Source organism: Homo sapiens, chromosome 2 (genome assembly GCF_000001405.40).
Source record: "Homo sapiens chromosome 2, GRCh38.p14 Primary Assembly".
NCBI classification, from domain to species: domain Eukaryota; kingdom Metazoa; phylum Chordata; class Mammalia; order Primates; family Hominidae; genus Homo; species Homo sapiens.
In genome coordinates, this window is record NC_000002.12 from 121,257,138 (window position 1) to 121,280,896 (window position 23,759).

Sequence of the window (23,759 nt, forward strand, 5' to 3'; positions counted from 1 at the left end):
AACTTGTGAGCAAGTAGCTGCCAGCCCAGCCCAGAGGAGCCAAGGTGACCTTGGGAGTGGCAGGGGCTGGGGAGGCACAGTGACAGGCTCCACTCACCACCCACCCCCACCTCAGGCTGAGCTGAGGCCCCCTCCTGCCTCCCCTACAGCTATAGCCCGAGGGTATCCAGGCAGTACTGTCCCTCCCGGGGGAGGGGTGGGGCTCCTCAGCTGGATTTAGGCTGCCACACCCCACCACCCTACAAGAAGGATGGCCTGGTTCCTGCCCAAGGGCCCTGAGCCACACAAACGGGTGTGGAAACTTCTTACCCCAATCTTAACAGCTGTGCTTAGGCTCTGCCCCCTTGCCCCTCCTGCCCTCCACCCACCTGAAGAGCAGCAGGGGGCAGGGGGGAGGCCAGATAAAATACACAAGTGCTCAACTAAACTTTGTGCTCTCCCTCTTCCCACCTGCACCCCACATGTCCAACACCTCCAGCCCAAGCATCAGCAAACCTTCCCTGTGAAGGGCTGCATAGCAAGTATCTTCAGCTTTGTAGGACATAAGACCGCCCACACTATTCAACTCTGCCACTGCAGCCAGGAAGCGGTCACACACCACACAGGAATGAATGGGCAGCGCTGTAATTCATTCAAACACTGAACTTGGAATTTTCATATAATTTTTCTTCTTCCTGTGGACTTCCTTCCTTCCTCCCAACTGCTTTCGGCGCTTTGCAACTTTGCCCACCCCTCCCTCCTTGAATGAGGGGCTAAGTCACAGCCCCTCAATGGACAACGGAAAGCTCTGAGAACCGGCCCGCCACCAGTTCACCCGAACCAGGTCACCCCTACCCCCAGCACCATGGACAATACTGGTATGTCGTCGGTTTTTAATTAACAGTGGCAGAATTTGGTGTTAAATTCTTTACAGCAAATAACAGAGCTGGAACTTGTCAGCCAAACCCTGAAGAACACGAAAAGATGCTCCACCTCACTCATGTAAAGAAATGCCAAATGAAAACAATGCAGCCACTGCCTGATCACCTGTCAGATGGCAAAAAACTAACAGATTGCTGGCATCCCACAAGGACAGCGATGTGGGGAAATGGGCCCTCGCCTCACACATGCTGGAGCTGGGAGATAACAAGCCACAGCCTATGGGGCACTTTGGTAATACCCATCAATATTAATAAGCGCCCAGCCACCCCATCACCAGGACTCCAGTCTATAGAGCTGCCAGCTTAGGCGCTAAAAAATCTGCCCAAGGCTGGCTATTCAAAGCAGCAGTACTGCTACAGCCCCAAACTGGAAATGAACAAAATGGTCAGCAATCACGTTACTACTAAACCTTGGGGCCACCACAGAGGAAGAGGCGCACAGCTTCACCCAGTGGTGCTGTTAGCATGTCCACCTCCTGCGTGGACCACTGAGGACGCTGCATCACCTACTTCTTGTCCCTGCCCAAAAGGCACCACCTGAATCTCAACATGAGGAAACACAAGCAAACCCAAACAGAGAGACCATCTACAACCTCCTGGCCTGCACCTTCAGAAGCATCGACATCATGAAAAATGAGGGGAGACTGAAGATCTGTCCAGATTCAAGCGGGGTCAGGAGTGGGACAACTGAACACAACGTCCAGTCCTGAACTGGGTCTGGATCAAGGCAAAAACCTGCTACGGGACATCAGAACAATTGGCCCTATTTTAATAGGAATAGATGATAGGTGAGGGTATTATATTGATGTTAAATTCCCCAATTTGATAATGTACTTGTGGTTATATAAAAGAATGTCCTTGTTCTTAGGAAATACATGCTAAAGTATGACTAAGAGATCATGTTGTCTGCTCGGGCGCGGTGGCTCACACCTATAATCCCAGCACTTTGGGAGGCCAAGGCAGGTGGATCACTTGAGGTCAGGAGTTCGAGACCAGCCTGACCAATATGGTGAAACCCTGTCTCTAGTAAAAATACAAAATTAGCCGGATGCGGTGGCTAATCCCAGCTATTTGGGAAGCTTGGGAGGCTGGGAGTAGGTGGGTAATCCCAGCTACTTGGGAGGCTGAGGTAGGACAATCACTTGAATCCAGGAGGCGGAGGCTGCAGTGAGCTGAGATTGCATCACTGCACTCCAGCCTGGGCAATAAGAGTGAAACTCTGTCTCAAAAAAAAAAAAAGATCATGTTGTCTGCAACTAACTCTCAAAATATTCAGCGAGGAAAAAATATATATAATAGAGATATCCATATCGATAGCTATCCCTATCTATACATCCCTTTATAGAGCTATAGATATATATACATCTATAGATAGTTACACATAAATGCACATAGGTGCATCTATATAGATAAAGCAAGTGTGGCAAAACATTTAAAAACTGGTGAATCTGATGGAGGATATACATACTAACCATAATAACTTTTTAATTCTTCCATAGTTTGAAATTGAAAATTACTTTGAATTAGAAGTTAAAAAATAATTTTAAAATTAAGATTACAAAAAGGCTTAGGCAGACCTAGATCTGTTATAGATGTAAAAAGCCATCCACCATACACACACATGAAAAAGCAAGTTGCTGAGTATGTACACAGTGTGACTGCACTTTTGTTTTAAAATAAGTTATACTCAAACCCACATATTTGTAAGTCTAATATATACATCTAACAATGGGCAGAGAAGGACTTTTCCCTGTTAAATTAGATATATCTTCAGTATTGGCCTGAAAAAAAACAACTAGGGATATATTGCATCTGAATTTGAAAAATACAAAACAAAGAAAAGAGGGGAAAGTCCTCCACACTGTTCCAAGTACATAATGGATGCTCACAATACAGCGATTGGTATTTATTTTCCCAGTGTCAGGCTGGTACCCAAAGGCCAATCAGACAGGTGGTATTTGGGGAAGGGAGTCCAGTTCATAGAGCAGGAAACACATGCAGACCATGTAAGACAGGCAGAAGCCCCATCAACCCAGGGTCTCATTGAGAGATCACCCTGAAGAACCCACAGTACACTAGGACCGTGCCCATTTCAGAGATGAAGAAACTAAGGCCCAGAGAGGTGCTGACCTGCCCAAGGTCACAGTGCAAGTTAATGGCAAAGACTAAGTAGCCTACAGCCTGGCCCAGGAGAAGAGGGGAAAGGGAGCTGGGGTCAGGTCAGATACACCACCGGGGTTGACTCAGACCCCTTGACACTCCAGGACCACAGCTGAGTTCTTAAATCTCTCAGCATTTCACTCTCAACATCTGCAAAATGTTCTTTGCAGAAGTCTTGTGAGGATTAAATGAGATAATGTACTTCCCGCCCACACGTATTAATAGTAAGTACTCAGCAAGGGCCAGCCAAATAACAGGTATCGTATGCGCCCTCCTACGGAGCCCTACCCATGCACAGGTCACTGTATTCCGTGCTGCACACAGAAACTGTCCTCCAGCCCTCACACAGCTCCACACACCAAGTGACCTAACTGCCAAGGTCACAGAGCCAGGAGAAAGCCCAGCTGGGATACACCCCCAGGCAGGGATAACTCCACCAGGCCATCCACTGTCTTCCAGGATCTGCTGCTGCAACCACAGCACTGCCCAGAGCAGGCTGCCCCTCTCCCAGTGGGCCTCCCCTGGGTCGTGCCCACCAGGTGCTCCTGCAGAGCAGCATGGAAAGCCAGAGTGGCTGTGCCCCAGTGAGCAGAACCCAGCACAGGGCCTCCTGCCTGGATCACAGTGTTCCCAAGAGCAGGAGGCAATTGCCCGAGCTAGCCAAGATTTACAGGTTGTTTACTTTCCTACAGTTACTGGTTTGGGTAATTAATGCCACATAAAACATAATGGAGGCCATCATTACCAGTGAGAAAGGAGGGCTGGATGCCAACTGTCTGGTAATAACGGTAGATGCAGAAAGCACAATCCTGAACTCATCGTGCCCAGCACACACGGCTGACCTTGTCTCTTGCACATGTGCAATACTAGGCAAGTGTCTGTTGACACAGAGCGCTCACACAGAAGAAGATGGTATGCTTCAGGGAAAAGGCTTTGCCAGCAACACACCCTAATCCTGAGCCTGATGGACTATCACCTGCATGACCTTGGGCAGGGCATTTGACCTTCTTTTTGCAGCTGCTTATGAATGCCACAGGCTAGGCATCATGTCTGGCGTAAGATGAATCCAAGTAAACACTTGGAAGATAGTTACTGGGGGCTCCTTAGAGAAAGGACTGTTTACAGAGCTGGGGCAGGCAGAATACAAGATGAGACTTAAGCATCTGTAGTGCCAAAAGGTGAGGAAATGCTCAAAAAAGAATGAAGCCATGTCAGAGCAACACAAGCACCAACCCAAAGGAGCTCTCGATGGCCACAGCTGAACAATGTAAACAACACAATAAACAGCAAAATGATTTCAGTTTTACCCACAGAATAAAATAACTATCCATGAGTCTATACTGATATAGTAAGTGAATAAATAAGTTAATGGTAGAGAAGGAAAAACTCTTTTATAGTAGCATTCCAATTACAGAAGAAAATCAACAGAAAATCACCATTAGGCAACCATTACAATAATAACTGGTGTGGACACAGTCCAACAACGGATGCTAAAATAAGTGGGCAAAGATTGAGAGGGAAAAAGCAAAGGGTAAACAGTCTCCAAGTCATATCCTCCACCCCAAGATTATTTATCAATTACAAAGGAGGAGAGGTAATTTTACAGTGGAGAAACCTGGCAGACACTACCCTAACTAAATCAGCAAGGTGAACAGCACCAGCAAAAGACGTATCAGCACCATGATCCCCAATGCACTGCTGGGGATACGATGTCACTTCAGTAGTAGTCTTGCCAAAAATGTATAAGCCCAATCTCATCATTTAAAAAACATCAAGCAGACTCAAATTGAGGAGCATTCTACAAAATCAAGCTTTTGGCCAGGCATGGTGGCTCATGCCTGCAATCCCAACACTTTGGAAGGCCAAGGCAGGAGGACTGTTTGAGCTCTGGAATTGAGAGCAGCCTGAGCAACACAGAGAGACCTCGTCTCTTATTTATTAAAAATGATAATAACAAAATAATAATAGGCCAGCCACAGTGGCTCTTGCCTGTAATCCCAGCACTTTGGGAGGCCGAAGCAGGTGGATCACGAGGTCAGGAGTTTGAGACCAACCTGCCCAACATGGTGAAACCCTGTCTCTACTAAAAATACTAAAATTAGCCGGGCGTGGTGGCGGGCGCCTGTAACCCTAGCTACTCGGGAGGCTGAGGCAGGAGAATGGCTTGAACCCGGGAGGCGAGGCTGCAGTGAGCCAAGATTGCACCACTGCACTCCAGCCTGGGTGACAGAGTGAGACTCCGTCTCAAAAAAATAAAACAAAATAAAATAATAATAAAGCTCTTTAAGTCTGAGGGTCCCGGAAGACAAGGAAAGACAAAAGGACTGTCACAGATCGATGAAGACTCAGGAGACATGGCAACTCCCCTGCAGCGTGGGATCCGGGAACAACGGACAGTAGTGGGAGAACTGGTAAAATGCACACAAAGACTGTAGCAGACAACAGAATTCTATCAGTGTCAGTTCCTGGTTTCAGTAATTGTACCACTGTTATGTAATAGGTTAACATTATGGGAAACTGAGGACAGGGTACCCAGAAGTCTCACTACTATCTTTGACACCTTTATGTCTAAATTTATTTCCTCCTCCACAAAATACACTGGGTCTCCATATGAACATCGACATGCTCATAAGTACCTGGACACTTAATAACCATTTTTTAAATTGTTTGATTTGCTCTCATACTGGGAATATTATCTCTTTTTTCTATATTTTGTTTGTTTGTTTGTTTGTTTTGTGATGGAGTTTCACTCTTGTTGCCCAGGCTGGAGTGCAATGGCACAATCTCAGCTCACCGCAACCCCCATCTCCGGGGTTCAAGCAATTCTTCTGCCTCAGCCTCCCAAGTAGCTGGGATTACAGGCATGCGCCACCACGTCCAGCTAATTTTGTATTTTTAGTAGAGATGGGGTTTCTCCACGTTGATCAGGCTGGTCTCGAACTTTCCGACCTCAGGTGATCTGCCTGCCTCGGCCTCCCAAAGTGCTGGGATTACAGGCATGAGCCACCATGTCTGGCCCTTTTCTATTTTATTTTATACTTTGTTATTGCTGGTACATAGGAATTCACCAGTTTTGCTAGTTGAATTTGTATCCATAGTAGATGAACAATATGAAACTGTAGATAACTGACTGATTTTGATTTACAAAATGGCAAGTGCATATGGTTTAACCTAATATAACGGTTCTTGAAGACGCACAAGCAAAAAGCCGAAAGAAAAATGAGCAATGGATATCAACTGTCTGTTTTTGGCAAAAAAAAAAAAAAAAAAAAAAAAGGGCATACAAACACATGAAGATGCTTAATTTCACTTGTAACAGTTACGAGAAATCAGACAAATACAAATCAAAATAAGGTGCTGCTATTCTCCATGCAAATTAGAAAGGATTCAAAATGTTGACAATGCCAAGTGTGGAGACAGGTGTCCTCTTGTACAAGAGGTAGGGATATAAACAGGTACTATCTCTTTGGAAGGTGATTTGACAAGGCCTACAGAAATCCTAAACACATATATCACTGCCATTTGTGTGTGTGTGTTTACGACAAGGCCAGATAAGCATCTTTGCTTGTTTATGCATGAAAATATACTGGAGCCAGGGATAACATCAGCTGCCTCTGAGGAGGGGCACTGGGTGCCTGGGGCAGAGGTGGGTGACTTACCATAATCCCTTTTACCACTTAAATTCTGAACCAAGTAAATGCATTAACTTGCCAAAAAATAAATTTTGAAAACATGAAGAAAAAAGAAAAAAAGCCTGCCCTGTAAGTTAGTAGGATAAAGGACAGTAAAGAGTAGAAAAACCAAATCTCCAAAGATAAGGGCAGAATCATGACTCACTCAGGCACCTCTGCTCCAAGCCCTGCCACCTACATAGGCTTGGGGCTCAGGAGGGGGAACCCGTGTGCCGGGCTGAGAGTGGTCGCATGGCCACATCAATTGACCCCAGGTCTCGAAGGCAGGGCCCAGCCCACCCAGCCACTGGCTTTCCACTTGCTCATATCCAACCCCCACCACCTACCTGCTCCAGGCAGTCCCATTTTGTGTCCCAGCCTCTGGTGAGAAGGCCTTTCTGGAGCAGTCTCTACTAAGGCAACACAGCCTGCTTCTCTCTCATACCCAGGGTATCTAAGGACCCTCTCTGAGACTGCTCCTCTATTCCCAGCCTCTGGCTGCAGAGTGGAAATGGGGAAGGCGGGGACAGCCAGGGTCAGTTACACCAGGCCCACCTCTTGGGCCACGGGCCACCTTGGTCCAAGTGAGCAGGTGACCAAGCCAGACTCGCAGTCCCCTCCTGGGAGTGCAGAATCAGGAGGGGAATGAGAGCACCTGTCTCTCTAGGCAGCTGAGGCCGTGTGCTCTCAGGAGGCTTTGGTGGCCTTGCTGTCTGCTATCTGGCCACCAGGGCAGGGATGCTGGTGGGCAGAGCTTGCAGAAGGCAGATGCCCAGAGAGGAACCGACTGAAGAGTCAAAGAATGCTCCCCAACATTTGAGCCCCTGGTTCCCGTGCGCTTCGGGGGCCCAGCTTTGGGACACTCTGCTTTATGAGGCTGGCAGATGGCTGCCAGTCTGTTACCCATACCCTCTCCATCATAAAGACAGACACTAAACAATAAATAACAACAAATAACAAGTGCTGGCCGGGGAGAAGCTGGATCCCTCCTGTATTGCTGGTAACAATGTAAAATAGTATAGCTGCTTTGGAAAACCGTCTGGCAGTTCCAGAGTCACCATTTGACCCAGCAATTCCCCTCCTACAAATATAACCAAGAGAAATGCAAACATAGGTCCACACAAAAATGTTTACACAAAGGCTCACAACAGCATTATTCACAATAGCCAAAAAGTAGAAACAGTCCAAATGTCCATCAACTTTTAATTTAAATAAAACGTGGTACATCCCACAGTGGAATATTATTTAGCAATAAAAAAGGAATGAAATACTGATATATGCTCAACATGAAGACCCTTAAAAACATGATGGACAGAAAAATGCCGCCACAAAAGACCACCACTTGTGTGATACCATTTATGTGAAAAGTCTAGAATAGGCAAGTGGGTAGAGATAAAGTAGATTACTGGTTGCCTGAGGGCGGGGGAAACGAGAATGGGGAATGAGTGCTAGGGGTACAGGATTTCTCTAAGAAGGGACAAAAATGTTCTAAAATTAGTTGTGATGGCTAAGTATATTTAGTTGAATAATAAAAAACATTGAATTTTATACAGTAAATGGGTGAATTGTAGGGTATGTGAATCATATCACAATAAAGCTTTTTTTTTTTCTTTGAGACAGGGTCTCACTCTGTCACCCAGGCTGGAGTGCAGCGGTGCAATCTCGGCTCATCACAACCTCCACCTCCCAGGTTTGAGTGATTCTCCTGCTGCAGCTTCCCAAGTATCTGGGATTACAGGCATGAGCCATCACGCCTGGCTAATTTTTGTATTTTTAGTAGAGTCGGGGTTTCACCATGTTAGCCAGGCTGGTCTCGAACTCCTGACCTCAGAAGATCCGCCTGCCTCGGCCTCCCAAAGTGCTAGGATTACAGGCGTGAGCCACCGTGCCTGGCCAAGAGTGGCTCCTTTAAAACAAAACACAAAACACCTTCCTCATTCAGAGCAGACTCTGTACACATTCTTCCAAGTAGTAATCTTTTTTTTTTTTTTTTTTGAGACAGGGTCTCACTCTGTGGCCCAGGCTGAAGTGCAGTGATGTAGTCTCGGCTCAGTGCAGCCTCGACCTCCGGGGTTGAAGCGATTTTCCCACCTCAGTCTCCTGAGTAGCTAGGACCACAGATTTGTGCCACCACACCTGGCTAATTTTTATATTTTTGGTAGAGATGGTGTTTCCTTATGTTGCCCAGGCTGGTCCTGAACTCCTGGGCTCAAGTGATCTGCCCACCTTGGCCTCCCGAAGTGCTGGGATTTAATCTTTTTTTTTTTTTAATAGTTTTTTTTTCCCCCAAGTAGTAATTCTAACCATAGCACAGTGGCCCCTGAAACCCGACTCAGGATCCCATTTCACTAACAGCAAAGTGAGTCTTCCCATCTCTGACCTTCCTTCCTTCCCTCTCTCCTCCTCCAAATATCCACAAAAAATTGCCAAAGTTAGTGGCAGAAGGAAAGTAACACTTACTGAGACCCTATGATGTACCTGGCCCGTTAATGTGATTTTTCCATAATGTACCATATAAATCATAACCCTATTTCTGCAGTTACCAGAGCAAGGTGAGAGTGTAAAGTTTATTAAACCAGGGTCCTCTCCTCCAGCCCCACTGATGGTCTGTCCTGACTGCCAGGCACCTGCTTGGTTTAGAGGCAGACAACAGCAGGGTTCCAGGCAGGCAGTTGCAGTCACCTGGGACTAGCAAGGTTTTGATGCTTCAGTGAGTGACTGTGTGTCTGTTTTTCCAGATGGGTCATCAAGTCACGAAATGAAATTTTAGGGACTTGCTTTAATCCGTTCTCAATCGAGGAAGTCTATCACATCCCCAGTGAAAGGGTGACCTGCCCTGGTCTGTACTAAGTGCTGCTGAGTGACTCACCAGGGCTTCCAATGCTTCCGTGCTTTATGACACACTTCAACTTCAACAGAAAATCTTTTGGCTGGCTCTTTTTCCTTCAAAGTATTTCCAAAATACAGATGATTTTAATATAATTATTTTTTTCATTATTTATTTATTTATTTATTTATTTATTTATTTATTTATTTATTTTTGAGATGGAGTCTCACCCTGTTGCTCAGACTGGAGTGCAGTGGCATGAGCTTTGCTCACGGCAATCTCTGCCTCCCAGGTGCAAGTGATTCTCCTGCCTCAGCCTCCTGAGTAGAGTTAGCTGGGACTACAGTGCCTGCCACCACGCCCAGCTAATTTTTGTATTTTTAGTAGAGATGAGGTTTCACCATGTTGGCCAGGCTGGTCTTGAACTCCTGGCCTCAATCAATCCACCAGCCTCCACCTCCCAAAGTCCTGGGATTACAAGCATGAGCCACCGCACCTGGCCACAATATTTATTATTTTACAGATAGGGTCTTGCAATGTTGCCCAGGCTGCTCTTGAACTCTGGGCTGAAGGCATCCTCCTATCTCAGCCTTCCAAGTAGCTAGTACTATAAGCATGAACCACCACATCCAGCAATGTGATTATTAAGAACATATTATTCTGGAATTGGACTGTCTGGAATTCAATCACATAAGTATGATGTTTTAATTAACTGGCCCATTACTACTTAAAACATAATTAAAGTTTGACACGACCATGTAGACACCTATGAACATTAAAAATCTTTTTTTTTTTTGGGACGGAGTCTCGCTCTGTCACTCAGGCTGGAGTGCAGTGGCGCGATCTCGACTCACTGCAATCTCCGCCTCCCGGATACAAGCGATTCTCCTGCCTCAGCCTCCCGAGTAGCTGGGACTACAGGCATGTGCCACCATGCCCGGCTAATTTTTTATATTTTTAGTAGAGATGGGGTTTCACCGTGTTAGCCAGGATGGTCTCGAATTCCTGATCTCAAGTGATGCGCCTGCCTTGGCCTCCCAAAGTGCTGGGATTACAGACAATGAGCCACAACGCCCAGCCCTAAAAATCATGTCTATGTGCTATAAGCTGTGATAAGCAATCTGTACAAGTAACCTCGTATTTATTTCAATACATTCTGATTGGTTTTCAAAACAACAAAGAAGTCCAGGCATGGTGGCGCACATCTGTAATCCCAGCACTGTGGAAGGCCAAAGCAGGAGTTCAACACCAACCTGGGCAACACAGGGAGACCCTGTCTCTATAAAATATATGTTAGCCAGGCTAAAGATTGCTTGAGCCCAGGAATTCAAGACTGCAGTGAGCTACGATCACAGCACTGTACTCCAGCCTGGGTGACACAGAAAGAGTCTGTCTCTCTAAAACAAACAAAAAAACAATAACAAAACACACCCCCTATTAATTTATTGGTATTTTTATTAGTTTAGCCTGAGATTCACAAATTACGGAATTCACAAATTTCACATTTTGGAAAGCGTTTGTTCTTTGTTGTTTTTTTCTTTTAAACCTTTGAACGTGGTTTACCACATTCTTTGCTGATTAAACATTTTTATAAATATTTACATTTTTTTTAAGTTTTGGCCTATAGTATCTTTCCCATTTATTTATTTATTTATTTAGTAACAGGGTCTCACTGTTACCCAGGCTGGAGTGCAGTGGCACGATCTCGGCTCACTACAGCCTCAACCTCCTGGGCTCAAGCGATCCTCCTGCCTCAGCCTCCAGAGTGGCTGGGACCACAGGCGTGCACCACCTTGCCCCAGCTAACATTTCTAAATTTTATATGGCCAAAATAAAGTATCCCTATATGGCAAAAAAATACAACAAAAATATTATATCATTCTCCAGGCTATACTGAGGTAAGTGTTATGCCTATTTTACAGAAAATGCAGTTGACAGGTTCAGGGGAGAAGAGAAGAACCAGACTGGGAGCTGGGTACATCCAACTCCAACATTCACCACTTTCAATGTGCCACTCAGTTGTTAGGAAAGGCTAATTAATAGTGTCATTCAGGCTGGCATTTGAGGGAATGAGGGAAAGGTGTTTACTTTAATAACACATACTAGATACCTTTCACGGCCATACAGAAGGACCTGCTTCATTCTTGTCACAGCTGCATATTATTCCACTATATCAAGTTTCTACATTCAGTCAGTTATTGTGGGACAATGTGATGATGGCCATATGGAAATTAACAGAGTTGGAGCCCTAATGTATTCCTTATGCACCATAATAAATGTCAAAGTATCAAAGATTAGGGAAAGGCTTTTTTTTTTATTAAAAAAAAGATGGATATCAATAAAATCTTAAAGTGAAGAAGGCATTTCCTAAATGGGACATGAAATACAAAAATAATTAAGGTGAAGTCCAATAAACCGGATAATAAAAATTTATCTTAAAAACTTTTATGGCTGGGCGCAGTGGCTTACACCTGTAATCCTAGCACTTTGGGAGGCTGAGGCGGGGGTGGATGGCTTGAGTCCAAGAGTTCGAGACCAGCCTGGGCAACATGGCAGAATCCCAACTCTACAAAAATACAAAAATTAGTCAGGCTTGGTGGCGGCCATTTGTAGTACCAGCTACTAGGGAGGCTAAGGCAGGAGGATCACCTGAGCCAAGGAGGTTGAGGCTGCAGTGAGCTGTAATCGCACCACTGCACTCTAGCCTGGGTGACAGAGGTGAGACCCTGTCAAAACAACAACAACAAAAAAACTTTTATTATGGGCTGGGTGCAGTGGCTCATGCGTATAATCCCAGCACTTAGGGAGGCTGGGGCAGGAAGACTGCTTGAGGCCAACAGTTGTCGACCACGCTGGCCAACATAGAGACCCTTTCTCTATAAATTAAAAACAAACAGCAAAAATTATGTAAAAGAGGCCGGGCCTGGTGGCTCATGCCTGTAATCCCAGCACTCTGGGAGGCTGCAGCGGATCACTTGAGTTCAGGAGTTCGAGACCAGCCTGGCCAACAGGGCAAAACCCTGACTCTACTAAAAATACAAAAATTAGCCAGGCGTGGTAGTGGACACCTGTAATCCCAGCTACTCAGGAGGTTGAAACAGGAGAATCACTTGAACCTGGGAGACAGAGGTTGCAGTGAGCAGAGATTGCGCCACTGCACACCAGCCTGGGTGACAGAGCAAGACTCCATCTAAAAAAAAAAAATATATATATATATATATGCAAAAGAAATAAACTAATTTAAAAAGGAATGAAATGAATGAAAAAGTGGGAAAATATTTCCAGTACATATTATAATATCCCAAATATACAAGCAGCTCTTACAAATAAATAAGGATGAAAATCTCACTAGAAAAATGGGTAATCACATGAAAGGCAAAAAGAGTAAAATGAAAAAATATTTCACATCATTGAGGAAAGGAGAATTAAAAGAAGACCCTATATTTTCCCCACCAGTTACCAAAGGGTAAACAGTGTTGGCAAAGGCAAAGAAAAACAGACCTTCTTCAGTCATTTAAAGAAGTGATGTATGCTAGACACTGGGCTAGGCCTCGCAGTGAACAAGATGACCAAGTCTCTGCCCTCAAGTTTATATTTCATGTGTGGCAGAGACTGGAAAAAGATAAGGGAGGAGAAAATAAACAAGTATTCAGATAGTTATTGTTCACAAAGTACAAACTGGCACAACTTCACTGGAAGGCAATCCGGCAGTACCTACCAAAATGTCATGCTGGCAATTCTATTTCTAGGTGTGTATCCTACAGCTATTTTCACTCCCGCTTAAACACAAAGATATACATAGATGTTCACGGATTACTAGAGCACGAGGTTATAACTATGAAAACAATGGAAACAAGCCTAATGTTCCTCAACAGAACAAGCTATACAACAGCCATACAATGATTGTAGTGTAACCAGTAAAGATCAGATTTTGCTTATTATATTTTTAAATGTACTCATGTGGAAAGACATTGAAGATATTTTGTTTGGGGGAAAAAAAAAAGCAGCAGGACACAGTGGCTCATGCCTATAATCCCAACACTTTAGGAGGCTGAGGAGGGGAAAATTGCTTGAGCCCAAGAGCTCTAGGCTGCAGTGAGCTATGATTGTGTCACTGCACTCCAGCCTGGGCAACAGAGCTAGACTCCATCTCTAAACACACTTTTTTTTTTTTTTTTTAAAGCAAGTTGTTGGCCGGGAGTGGTGGCTCACACCTGTAATCCCAACACTTTGGGAGGCCAAGGCAGGTAGATTACTTGAAGTCAGGAGTTCGAAACCACCCTGGCCAACATGGTGAAACCCCGTCTCTATTAAAAATACAAAAATTGGCTGGGCATGATGGCAGGTGCCTGTAATCCCAGCTACTTGAGAGGCTGAGGCAGGAGAATCGCTTGAACCTGGGAGGAAAAGATTGCAGTGAGCCGAGATCGCACCACTGCACTCCAGCCTGGGCGACAGGGCAAGACTCCGTCTCAAAATAAAAATAAAAAAAAAAAAACAAAAAAGCAAGGTGTCAAACAGCAAATATAAATATGATCCCATTTGTCTTAAAAAGCAAAAGGTACACGTGGCGAACATATATAAGGTTATATGCATGTTTGTCTATGGAAGCAGATATATATGGGTTAAAGTATGACTACGAAAAATCTGGAAGGTAGAACTATGGCACATTTTCTAGAGTATATATGGTTTGGCTGTTCTATTTTATAAAAGAATGTACTACTTTATACTCAGGAAAAAACAAGGGGAAAACATTTTTTTAAGTAATACGTTTTAAAGTCATTTGGTTTATTCAGTTTATATTCCCAAACTTCAGGCTAAAAATTAATCTGGAAAGAAAACTTCAGCTATGGAAAAAAGACAATAAACAAAATAACTAATCCTTTGCCTCATTCCTTAAATTCAAAGTCACTGATATAATTGGTAAGAAGGAAAAATATAACTGGGTACTTATTGTTTGCCAGGTATTTGTTGTTCACGTAACCCACAAAGTGAAACTGTCCTGGTTTCATAAATGAGGAAACTCGGGCTCCAAAGAATCAAGTGATTTCCCTGGAGCAGAAGCTGGTCAAAAAGACAGAACTGCAAATCTGTTTGGTTCTAGGAGCAGGGAAGACAGGACTTTCCCCTGAAGCTCTTATCTCCCTCCCTGAGGTTGCTGTGAGTGGAAAACAGGAGGGTTGGGGGTAGGGTAGGAGCAACTGATAATGGACGTTTTTTTCCTCTCCAAGGAGGCATTTTCTCCCCACTCCATTCCTTCCCCCCACAAAGCTTCATCCACCCTCCCTCAGAGCTGCATCAGGAGTACCAAGTGACAGAGCTCCTGCACCGAAGTGCCTGGCCTAGAATCCTGCCTTCAGGAACTCCAAGAAAAAGCAGCCAGAGAAAGAAAGGGTGCTTCCCCTTCCAGAACTCCCTTTATTATTGCACCCCACTTCAATCACTCTCCTGGCTTTCAAACTTACATGATATAAGAGGGAAGCCTGATTTCACCCTCTCAGCTGGTCATCTGTAAGATGGGAACGACGCATCTTGGGAGAACAACCCAGAAGAGAGTATCAGAAAGTGCTTTCCAAATTTTCAAGTGCTAACAAAGAAGTACCACCCTAAAGGCTGAGGTTCTCGCCTACCAGGTAATACAAACCCTCCTTAACATGATAGTTTACGGCATTTAGGAGTTCAGTGCTTTTTGTGATCTTTATTTCTAAAATGCTATTTCAACACCTTGCATAGGAAATTCTCCGCAGGGTTATGTCCCTCGTGTGGTTGTACAGCGAGTGAAGAATGAACGGAAAAGTGAAGCAAGCCTTCCCAAAGCTACCACCGTTTAACTCTAAGAGATGCAGTTCTTAGCTTTAGAGCCAACCCTGTGTTAATCTTTGAATTGGGAAAAGAGAGGATAAAAATCAGCAAAAGTTATCAAAGTCTCAACTCGATGACCTTGTTAACTTCCAAAACAGGATTGGCGAGATGCTTCCTCTTTATTAATAACAATGGCTGACATGTGAGTGCTTGCTATGTGCCCGGCATTTCAGTGTTCTACATGCATTAGCTCATTTTACCCATATGGCAGCACCTACTTTGTAGGGAGTTTACTTCCCCCATCTCACAGGTAAGGAATTGGAGGCAAAGAAAGGTTCAGTGACTTGCCCAGGTGGTTGCCAGATGGTTTAGCCTCAGCAAGGCAGGTGGAGTTCTAGGTCAGATATCTGGTCTACCTCTCCAGCCATATCACTCATATTTCCCCTTGTGTTTGAAACCCTCATCATCCTGAACTGCTTAGGATTCCTGGGATAGACAGTGTGTTCAGCTGCACCCCCATGCTTGCCTTTGCATGTGGCTTTTCTTTCTTCTCACCAAGCCACCATCCTCTTCCAACCAATAGGAAATTTTACTCCATGAATGAATGAAAGTAAGCATATTATGAAAATTCATTACTATACTTAAGACTCAAGAGTTGTTTTGACAGAAAATATCAAAGCATTCCCCACCGCAAGTCATTTTTGCAATGTTGTTTCTTATCTCAAGCCAGAAATCCCCATGCAGATTGCCTGGGGTTCTCTCTTCTCTGCTCTCCCGGACTCCTCCTCCTCCACATCCCTTGTCATCCCTCCACACCCTCCTCATCCCTTCCCTCAGGCTCCAGCCTTCGGGAAGATATGTCTACAATGACCTTTGGCCACTGACAAAGAGGAAGTTATCTGGAAGTTTGCAAACCTCTGTTCAACTCTCTATCCACCCCTTGGAAGGACCTTTTCAGAGGAAGAGAACAGAGTTTGTTTTTCAAATCATTTTCACCATATCTAAAACTAGCCACTCGGCTTGGTGATAGGACATCCCTATGAAACACACATGTCCAAGCCACAGGTCCTCAAGGCATTTGTTTGACACGGCACTGAGAAATGGGCATCCAGTGGTTTAAGTGACTTTTTGATTTATGCCTACAGCATCTTTTCCATGTTTTCAGAGAACTTTAAACACATCATTACAAGGAAGGGGAGAGGACCTGTGATGGCTTCACAAGAATAATGCAGTAACTACCATAGAGGCTTATAAACACTTAATAGCAGGCTTTTCAATTAACGAAAAATGTCTTGAATGATGTGTCAAAACTACTTTTTAAGAACTGTATCTTGGCAGGCCAAGGCGGGTGGATCACCTGAGGTCAGGAGCTCAAGACCAGCCTGGCCAACATGGCTAAACCCGGTCTCTATTTAAAAATACAAAAATTAGCCTGGCGTGGTAGTGGGCGCCTGTAACCCCAGCTACTCGGGAGGCTGAGGCAGGAGAATCGCTTGAACCCGGGAGGCAGAGGTTGCAGTGAGCCGAGGTCACACCACTGCAATCCAGCCTGGGCAGCAGAGCGAGACTCTGTCTCCAAAAAAAAAAAAAAAGAAAAAAAAAACCAATTGTATCAATGCCTTTGGTCATATGATGAAGAATAAGCTACTTAAATGAGGTACACTGAAAAAGATATCTAGTGCAGCATTACTGATTGGTGGGGGGATAAAATCATGCCTATTTTTAGATTTTCTAAATATTTACAGAGCACCTACTATACTCTCAAGGCACTCAGCTTAATACTGAGGATACAGGTTGAGCATCCCTAATCCAAAAATCCAAAACCTGAAACTTTTTGAGTCCTGACGTGACCCCACATATTGTCCACATGGGCGGCTGAGATCATCTTTTCTGATGACTCGATGTACACAAGCTTTGTTTTATAAACAAAATTATTTAAAATATTGCATAAAATTACCTTCATCTTATGTGCCTAAGGTGTATATGAAACATAAGTGAATTTTGTGTTTAGATGTGGGTCAGAGCCTCAAAACATCTCATTATGGATATGCAAATATCCAAAAATCCAAGAAAATTCAAAATCCAAAATACTTCCAATCCCAAGCATTTAGGAAAAGGGGTATTCTTCAGCCTATACTTTAAAATTTTAGGGGCCAGGCAGTGGCTCATGCCTGTAATCCCAACACTTTGGGAGGCCAAGGAGGATTGCTTGAGCTCAGAAGTTTGAGACCAGCCTGGGCAACATAGTGGGATCTTGTATCTACGAAAAATAGAAAAATTAGCTGAGTGTGGTAGCACATGTTTATCCCAGCTACTTGAGAGGCTGAGGCAAGAGGACTAATTATTCCAGGAGGTGGAGGCTGCAGGAGCCATGATTATGCCACTGCATTCAGCCTGGGTGAAAGAGCAAGAAGACCCTGTCTCAAAAAAAAAAAAAAATTATTTAATACATGGCTCAGCCCTATAGAACTTCCATTCTATTATGGGAGGCAGACACTAAAACAATTACACTGTATATTTTTTCCAGCAGTTATGACAATATTCTGCCCTAAATAACAAAAGGAAATAGTGAAATAACATGTAGAGGCTGGGCGCGGTGGCTCACACCTGTAATCCCAGCACTTTGGGAGGCCAAGGCAGGTGGATCATCAGTTCAGGAGATCGAGACCATCCTGGCTAACACGGTGAAACCCCATCTCTACTAAAAATACAAACTGTTAGCCAGGCATGGCGGCGGGCGCCTGTAGTCGCGGCGCCTGTAGTCCCAGCTACTTGGGAGGCTGAGGCAGGAGAATGGCGTGAACCCAGGAGGCGAAGCTGGCAGTGAGCCGAGATCGCGCCACTGCACTCTAGCCTGGGCGACAGCACGAGACTCCATCTCAAAAAAAAAAAAAAAAAGAAATAACATGTAGACATTTTACATGTTTAGGATACTTTTAATAATAATGGAAAATGTTATTACAAGAACAGTATTTAATAAAAGCAAGAAACAACCACATAAAGCATAATCTCATCCATTTGTTTTTTTAAGAAAAAGTATAGAAGTAAGTCTTTTTTTTTTTTTTTTTTTTGAGACAGGGTCTCGTTCTATCACCCAAGCTAGAGTGCAGTGGCTCAATCTTGGCTCACTGCAACCTCTGCCTTCTGGGTTCAAGCAATTATCCTGCCTCAGCCTCCCAAGTAGCTCGGATCACAGGTGCCCGCCATCACGCCCAGCTGATTTTTGTATTTTTAGTAAAGATGGGGTTTCACCCCGTTGGCCAGGCTGGTCTAGAACTCCTGACCTCAGATGATCCACCTGCCTCAGCCTCCCAAAGTGCTGGGATTACAGGCGTGAGCCACCGCGCCCAGTTGAGAAGGAAGTCTTAACGGTTATAACCCTCTGTAAGAATAAATTATTGGGAACGGCTAAAAAGAATACTGAGAGGAACCTCTCTGACAAAGGAAAACATATTTCTAAGCTACAAAAATTAGTTCAATGAGGAATTCGGCAAGAACATCAGCAGCACAGGACAAGTCTGTATATTGCTTGCCTTACAATTTAGGATATGGTTTGTTTTTAAGTTATACTTAAGTTCTGAGATACATGTGCAGAACGTGCAGGTTTGTGACATAGGTATACATGTGCCATGGTGGTTTGCTGCACCCATCAACCCGTAACCTACGTTAGGTATTTATCCTAATGCTATCCCTCCCCTTGTCCCCCACCCCCCGACAGGCCCCAGTGTGTGATCTCCCCTCCCTGTGCCCATATATTCTCATTGTTCAACTCCCACTTATGAGTGAGAATATGCGGAGTTTGGTTTTCTGTTCCTGTGTTAGTTTGCTGAGAATGATGGGTTTTTTAATGTTTCACAAGTGTCCCAGCATTTTGAGAGGCCGAGGTGGAAGGACTGCTTGAACCCAGGAGTTCAAGAGCAGCTTGGGAAACATGACAAAACCCCATCTCTACCAAAATTACAAAAATTAGCCGGGTGTGGTGGCGCACAACTGTAGTCCCAGCTACTCAGGAGGCTGAGGTAGGAGGATCCCCTGAGCCCGCGAGGCAGAGGCTGCAGTGAGCTGAGATGGAGCTACTGCACTCCAGTCGGGGTGATGGAGCAAGACCCTGTCTCAGAAAAAAAAAAAAAAAGAAAGCCAACAAAAAAAGTTTCAGAATTGACTTTCTAAATTTGTGAGATAAAGGTAGGAAAAGTCAGGCAATAACTAGAAAATAAACAAACTCAGATCTTCATATCACATCATAAATTCCAAATGCATTTCAGTAAGTGTTAAAATTTAGACACCTCTAAATGAAATTCAGAAAACTACTCAGCTAATTGATTTTGAGATGAGCAGCCATTTTCTTTTAAGCATAAAAGAAAAGTTTATTTCAAAGAATGAAAGATTTGATTTGACCATAGACATTTAAAATAGATCTCTACAGAAAAAAAAAAAAATCACAACATATACCTTACACCATAAATATAGTTATCACCCAACGAAAGTTAAATGGCCTGCAACCATCAGAGAAAAATACTTGCAAAAAATGGGAGCTAAAAGGTTGGTATTCTTCATAAATAGTATGCCCTTATCCATAAAACATAAACACCCCAACAAAAACGTGCAAAGGACAGGAATATAATAAACAAATTAAAAAGATCAATAAATGTATTTTAAAATATCCAACTGCATTAACAATCACAGAAATGCTAATTTAAGGCCAGGGGTGGTGGTACACACCTATAGTCACAGCTACTCAGGAAGCTGAGGAGGGAGGATCACTTGAGCTCAGAAATTTGGGTCCAGCCTGGGCAACCCAAGCCAGACCCCAGCTCAAAAAAGAAAAGAAATGTTAGTTTAGGATTAAATTCCATGTTTCACTAATCAGATGACAAAAAACAATAACCAATATTGGAAAAGAGACAAAATGTATACTGCTGGCTGGCACGTAAATTGGTGCATTCTTCTGAGAAAGCAATTTGGTGATATGCATCAAAAGCCTCAATGTTCAAATCCTTTGATCCAGAAATTCTACTTCTTAGGTATTTATTTTTAAAATACATAAATAATCAACATTTCACAGGAAGATTTATATGCAAGGATGTTGTTCATCATAATAGTATTTAATTTCTAACTGGAAACTAAGTGGCCATAATATGAAACAGTTAAAGTCATAGAAATATACAATGTAATACTATGCAGCCATTAACAGAAATGCAAGTCCTCAAATCATTTTCAATGACATGAGACGGCTGACAAATATAGTAAATGAAAAAAAGGATATATGTCTGTAACATAATCACAGAAAGATATATATACAAACATGTAGAAATAAGGTTAGCAGTGGTTTCTGGTGAAATCGGAGGGGATTTTAATTTTGTTTTAATTGTCTTCCTTTTGCTTTTCTAAATTATTCAAACTTTCTATAAAGTAGATTATTTTAATAACCTACAAAATATAATTTTAAAAATATAAATATACCAAATTAACATGAGATGATGAGACCATAGAGGTAACTCCTTTTTCTCTCTTTTTTTTTTTTTTTTTTGAGACGGAGTCTCGCTCTGTCGCCCAGGTCGGACTGCGGACTGCAGTGGCGCAATCTCGGCTCACTGCAAGCTCCGCTTCCCGGGTTCACGCCATTCTCCTGCCTCAGCCTCCCGAGTAGCTGGGACTACAGGCGCCCGCCACCGCGCCCGGCTAATTTTTTGTATTTTTAGTAGAGACGGGGTTTCACCTTGTTAGCCAGGATGGTCTCGATCTCCTGACCTCATGATCCACCCGCCTCGGCCTCCCAAAGTGCTGGGATTACAGGCGTGAGCCACTGCGCCCGGCCCTTTTTCTCTCTTTTAACTGATCTATGAGAGGATCAACTTTTAAAACTCTTTTTAAAAAAACCTAGTAGGCTGGGCACAGTGGCTCACGCCTGTAATCCCAGCACTTTGGGAGGCTGAGGCAGGTGGATCACCTGAGATCAGGAGTTTGAGACCAGCCTGGCCAACATGGTGAAACCCCGTCTCTACTAAAAATACAAAAATTAGGTGGGCGTGGTGGCACATGACTGTAATCCCAGCTACTTGGGAGGCTGAAGCAGGACAATCGCTTGAACCCAGGAGGCAGAGGTTGCAGTGAGCCGAGCCTGCACCACTGCACTCCAGCCTGGGTGACAGAGCAAGACTGTCTCAAAAAGAAGAAAGAAAAAAAAAAAAACACCTAGGGGGTGGCCAGGCCTGGTGGCTCACACCTGTAATCCCAGCACTTTGGAAGCCCAAGGTAGGTGGATCACTTGAGGCCAGGAGTTCAAGACCAGCCTGGCCAACATGGAGAAACACCATCTCTACTAAAAATACAAAAATTAGCTGGGTGTGGTAGCACACGCCTGAAAAACCAGCTACTTAGGAGGCTGAGGCAGGAGAATTGCTTGAACCCAGGAGGCAGAGGTTGCAGTGAACCGAGATCGTGTCATTGCACTCCAGCCTGGGAGACAGAGCAAGACTCTGTCTCAAAAAAAAAAGGAGTTGGAAGGGGTAGAGGAAAGGTAAGGAACTCAGCTAATGGCCTTACCAACAGGAGCAGGGGCCAGGGCAGGGACAGACACACAATATCTTGGTCTAGGAGCAAGACCTCAGACCTTGGACCCACTCTTCAGCACCACAGGACTTAGCCAACAAGAAGAACCACATCAAAGCTCAATGGATGCTATAAACATCTCATTTTTGCCTGCTAAATTTAAGCAAAAAAGCAGAGGCCCAAAGAGGAAAGAAAGTGCTCAAAGGTGCATAACCAGTTGGTAGCACTTGACCTTCCATGAAAGTGAAAGGCAAATGGCAAAAACCATTCCACACAGCGGCACAGATGCACACTTGGCCACATCACCCACCAACCATGGCCACCGTCCGCTGCAGATGGTGCACAGGTCTCCGGGCCTGAGCAGGAAGCTCTAAAGCTGAGGGAGCTCGGCTGAGCAAGAACAACTGAGGCCAGCAGAGCTGCCCTTGGGGATAAAGCATCACCTTCCACTGCGGCCCCTCCACAATGAGAGGGGGTTGCTTCTACCCAGAGGGAGGCAGACAGAGCCAGCTGCTACTTCTGAGCTAGTTTCTTGGCCCAGAAGCTGGCAAATTCAGCAGTAAGCAGAGAGCCTGATGACCAAGTTGGACTTCCACCCTGGCTGGCTCTCCAAATTGAGGAATCAAAGTTCGCGGAGAGGAAGCTACACATGTAAGACAAATTGCTACGACACCGCAGCTCCCCTGCAATTCCCTGTGACCCCACAGAAACCAGCGTTCCTCTGCCCGTCTGCTCTGCCCATTGAAAGTAGAGGGGTATCATACCAGTCAGGGGTAGAGCAGACACACAGTCCTTTGCTCATCCTTGCTGGATGCCTGGGTGGGTGGCCAGAACTGTTTCATGTCTGGGGCACACAAACAATAAAAGATAAAGCAGAAGGTGACAAATCCACATGATGCCAGGGTGGTCATGAGACGACCCAGAAGAAAGTGCAAAAAACGCATACTCATAATCATGATAGAACCACAAAAACACCATCCATCAGGACACTTGCCCACGTGTTCTGGAAAAGGGAACCAGCAACTGAACAACCACTATCATACCAGGCACCTCACAGACCTTCATTCTTTTAAACTCCACAAAATTATACTTCTTGTTTTACACATGAAAACACTGAGGTTCAGAGAAAAAAAAAAAAGGCAGCTCCAAGTCACAGAGCTAGGAAGTGCCAGAGTTGGAATTCAAACTCCAAAGCCTGTTTCCCTCAGGACATGGTGAGGGAACTTGTCCCCATCACCACAGAGGACTTTTGTCTAGCATGGATGGAACCCTGCTCCGGTGCTGCGCAGGACACAGGCCAGCCATCCCATCACTGCCAGGTGCAGCTCCAGGACCTGGGATGCTGACGGTACTCAGTGTATGTCTTCAAAGGACACAATCATGGTCACAATAAATAATCACCATGTGTCCAGGCACAGTGGCTTAGGCCTATAATCCCAGCACTTTGGGAGGCGCAGGCAGGTGGATCACTTGAGCCCAGGAGTTTGAGACCAGCCTGGGCAACATAGTGAGACCCCCCCAGCTCTACAAAAAATTTAAAAATTAGCCGGGCATGGCGGTCTACACCTGTGATCCCAGCTACTTGGGAGGTTAAGGTGGGAGGGTCACTTCTTGGGTTGAGGAGGTCAAGGGTGCAGTGAGCCATGATCATGCCACTGCATGCCAGCCTGGGCAACAGAACAAGACCCCCTCAAAAAAGGAAAAAAAAAAAAAAAGAAAGAAAGAAAGAAGGAAGGGAGGGAGGGAGGGAGGGAAAAACAGAAATAATGCTAGCATCTGCTCCATGGAGGGGCTATAGGAGGAATGCAGAGTGTTACCCTGTTACCC

General features: G+C 44.6%; 1 protein-coding gene across 6 annotated transcripts in view; it reads right to left on the bottom strand.

Annotated features, from left to right (window-relative positions):
• TFCP2L1 (transcription factor CP2 like 1) overlaps window positions 1-23,759 on the bottom strand; it is a 68,616-nt gene that overhangs the window by 40,551 nt on the left and 4,306 nt on the right. The window lies entirely within an intron of this gene.